Genomic DNA, 2,321 nt, shown 5'->3' on the forward strand with positions numbered 1-2,321 from the left:
ACCTTTGATGGCCCTTCAAAGTCAGTGGTGACTCACTACCCCAGTGTTCTCTACGTAAGGTTTCTAAGCCAGCCCTGGCTCTTTCCAGGGTGCTGGCTGGTGTGGTGGCTAAACAAGATGGGGGGAAGGTGAAACAGAAGCATCTGGAGGATCCTGTGGTCCCCTCACCCCTCTCTCTCCTTTATTTGTTACCAATCCTATCTGGATACCCAGAGAGGAACCAGGACTGCTTTTCTCAGCTGAAAGTTTTTCTTCTGATTTTGACACACCCAGCAGGCTTCTTGCTGCCCACAGAGGTGCATTTGTGTTAATGTTCTTGAGAAACCTCAACCCCCTCTCTTCACACTGTCAAGGGGCATAAGTTACTAGGATAACTCATGACATGGCCTGACTCCAAATTTTTCATATTTGGCTTTGAAGTGGGCCACAGAGATAGGACCATAGCGGTGTCTGGTGTTTGGGGCACATCCAAAGTCATGAAAAAGGAAGAGGTCAAACTCTTGAGTATTGATCGAGAAAAAACATTTTCACTCTCTGGACACACTCCTTCTTTTATTTACTCTTTCCTGAAGACAGAAAAGACATCAGCTCCCCTGGTTTATTGCTTCTTTAAAAAGAGAACTTCCCTCCAAGATTCTGGTGATTGGTTTGCTAATTTTTCTGGAATGAAAGAAATTAAGATGGTGAAACACTTAAAATTTTACATAGGCACACACCTTATTTCGTATAATAGATATCTCCCGGAATAACAGTTTCTGGGGAAGGAATTATTTTTCAAATGCAGTAGGAGGGCTTTAATATTTAACTAAAGTTTGTAATGCATCTGTTTGAGGAGAACACTTTCAAGCATAATAAAATTATTGATTTAATAACTTCTTCATTTTGGAAGTTCAGATTTTTGCATAGATATTATATTTTAGTGCTTTAAAAACAATAATAATGTGGTCGGGTACAGCATCCTAAATCCTTAATTTTTAACTTTGCCTTATGATTATAAAAGTAATACATATTCAAGGTATCTTTTTTCATATATAAGTTTTAATTTTACTGTATTCAAATGTATTAATCTTTTCCTTTATGGTTTATATATTTTATCTCTCCTGGTAGATTGCACAAATGGATGCAATATTCTCTTTCTAGGTATTCATGACTGTACATCGTGCCTTGGTAGCTCCTCTTGTCTAGATGTGGAATCTATTTCCACTCTTTTGAATTTCTACTCCTGCTTTGGCTAAATGAATGTGGAAGTGATGCTGTGCCAGTTCTAAGCACAGAAGCCTTCCAGATTTTGCTCTCTTTTGGAACTCTGCCAGCCACCATGTAAATGACCTTAAGGTAGCCTACTGGATGGTGAGATGTATGACTCAGACTCCCCTGTTGCCCCAGCTAATAGCCAGTCCCAAGCTAAACTGGAAGCTGGCCATAGTTGCGTGAGTGTAACCATAATTGCCCTGCAGAGCTCAGCCTAAATTGCTGACTTGCAGAATCATCAGCAATGACAAACGTTTATTACATTAAGCCACTAAGTTTTGTACTGGTTTGTTATGCAGAAATATTTGAATGACACTTGTCTTCTTGAAGAGATACCTCCCTACTTTGCGATTATAGAGTGTGAGAAACACTCACCAGTCCAAACACAAAGAATGGACTTGGAGACCTGAAAAACAGCAGATGCGAGACTTTCAAAGGCGGTCTTGCAAGATTGGGTGTCTGGCAGGCAGACACACCTAGGGCAGTTACAGCAAGTAATTTGTCTCCTAGCACGCAAGTCCCTCCCCCTGTTCCTCATTGGTTGAGTATATGGGGTTACAGTCTTCCCGGACGTTGCCTAAGTTTCACTATCCCCCTTATAAGGTTATGCCCTGTCCTCTTCCCCACTTAAGTTTCCATTTCTCAACAATGAAACTTTCTTCCCTTTTATGGGCTGACTCCTCCTCTACATTCTGTCCACTTATTGTGACTTTCTAGGTGCATGAGCCATGCAATTTGTCACATTCGCAGGCTGGCTGCCAGTACTTAGAATTATCATGCCTTGAAAATGGACCATTTAAAATATTTTCTTACAAATTCCCTCCTCTTTTCTATTTACTTCCTTTGGTCTCAATTTCATTTAAACTCTTTTGGTCCTTGAATCACTTTAGAAGTCACTTTCTTCCTTATGGAAGAGTGAGTTTAATTTGGATTCTACTAGTAGCAGGTTATTTTGCTGGTAAAGCATGGACATTTATTTACTAATAGCTGCTTAAATTAATCTCTGTGCTAGTCCCCTCACACAGGGGATAATACAACATCCCACAGCTGTTAAGACTCCTGCTACAATT

The 2,321-nt window shown here is 40.2% G+C and overlaps 4 annotated features.

Annotated features, from left to right (window-relative positions):
• Positions 1-310: an enhancer, noted in NCBI's record as "active region_19792". NCBI's record gives its function as "activates an Ori minimal core promoter by ATAC-STARR-seq in GM12878 lymphoblastoid cells {active_cell/tissue: GM12878}" and the evidence as "EXISTENCE:reporter gene assay evidence [ECO:0000049][PMID:35858748]".
• Positions 1,647-1,941: an enhancer, noted in NCBI's record as "tiled region #1914; HepG2 Activating non-DNase unmatched - State 23:Low, and K562 Activating non-DNase unmatched - State 20:ReprD". NCBI's record gives its function as "activates a minimal TATA promoter and a strong SV40 promoter by Sharpr-MPRA in HepG2 and K562 cells {active_cell/tissue: HepG2 | K562}" and the evidence as "EXISTENCE:reporter gene assay evidence [ECO:0000049][PMID:27701403]".
• Positions 1,647-2,008: a biological region, named in NCBI's record as "Sharpr-MPRA regulatory region 1914".
• Positions 1,699-2,008: an enhancer, noted in NCBI's record as "active region_19793". NCBI's record gives its function as "activates an Ori minimal core promoter by ATAC-STARR-seq in GM12878 lymphoblastoid cells {active_cell/tissue: GM12878}" and the evidence as "EXISTENCE:reporter gene assay evidence [ECO:0000049][PMID:35858748]".

This window comes from Homo sapiens, chromosome 3, assembly GCF_000001405.40.
Source record: "Homo sapiens chromosome 3, GRCh38.p14 Primary Assembly".
Lineage (NCBI taxonomy): Eukaryota > Metazoa > Chordata > Mammalia > Primates > Hominidae > Homo > Homo sapiens.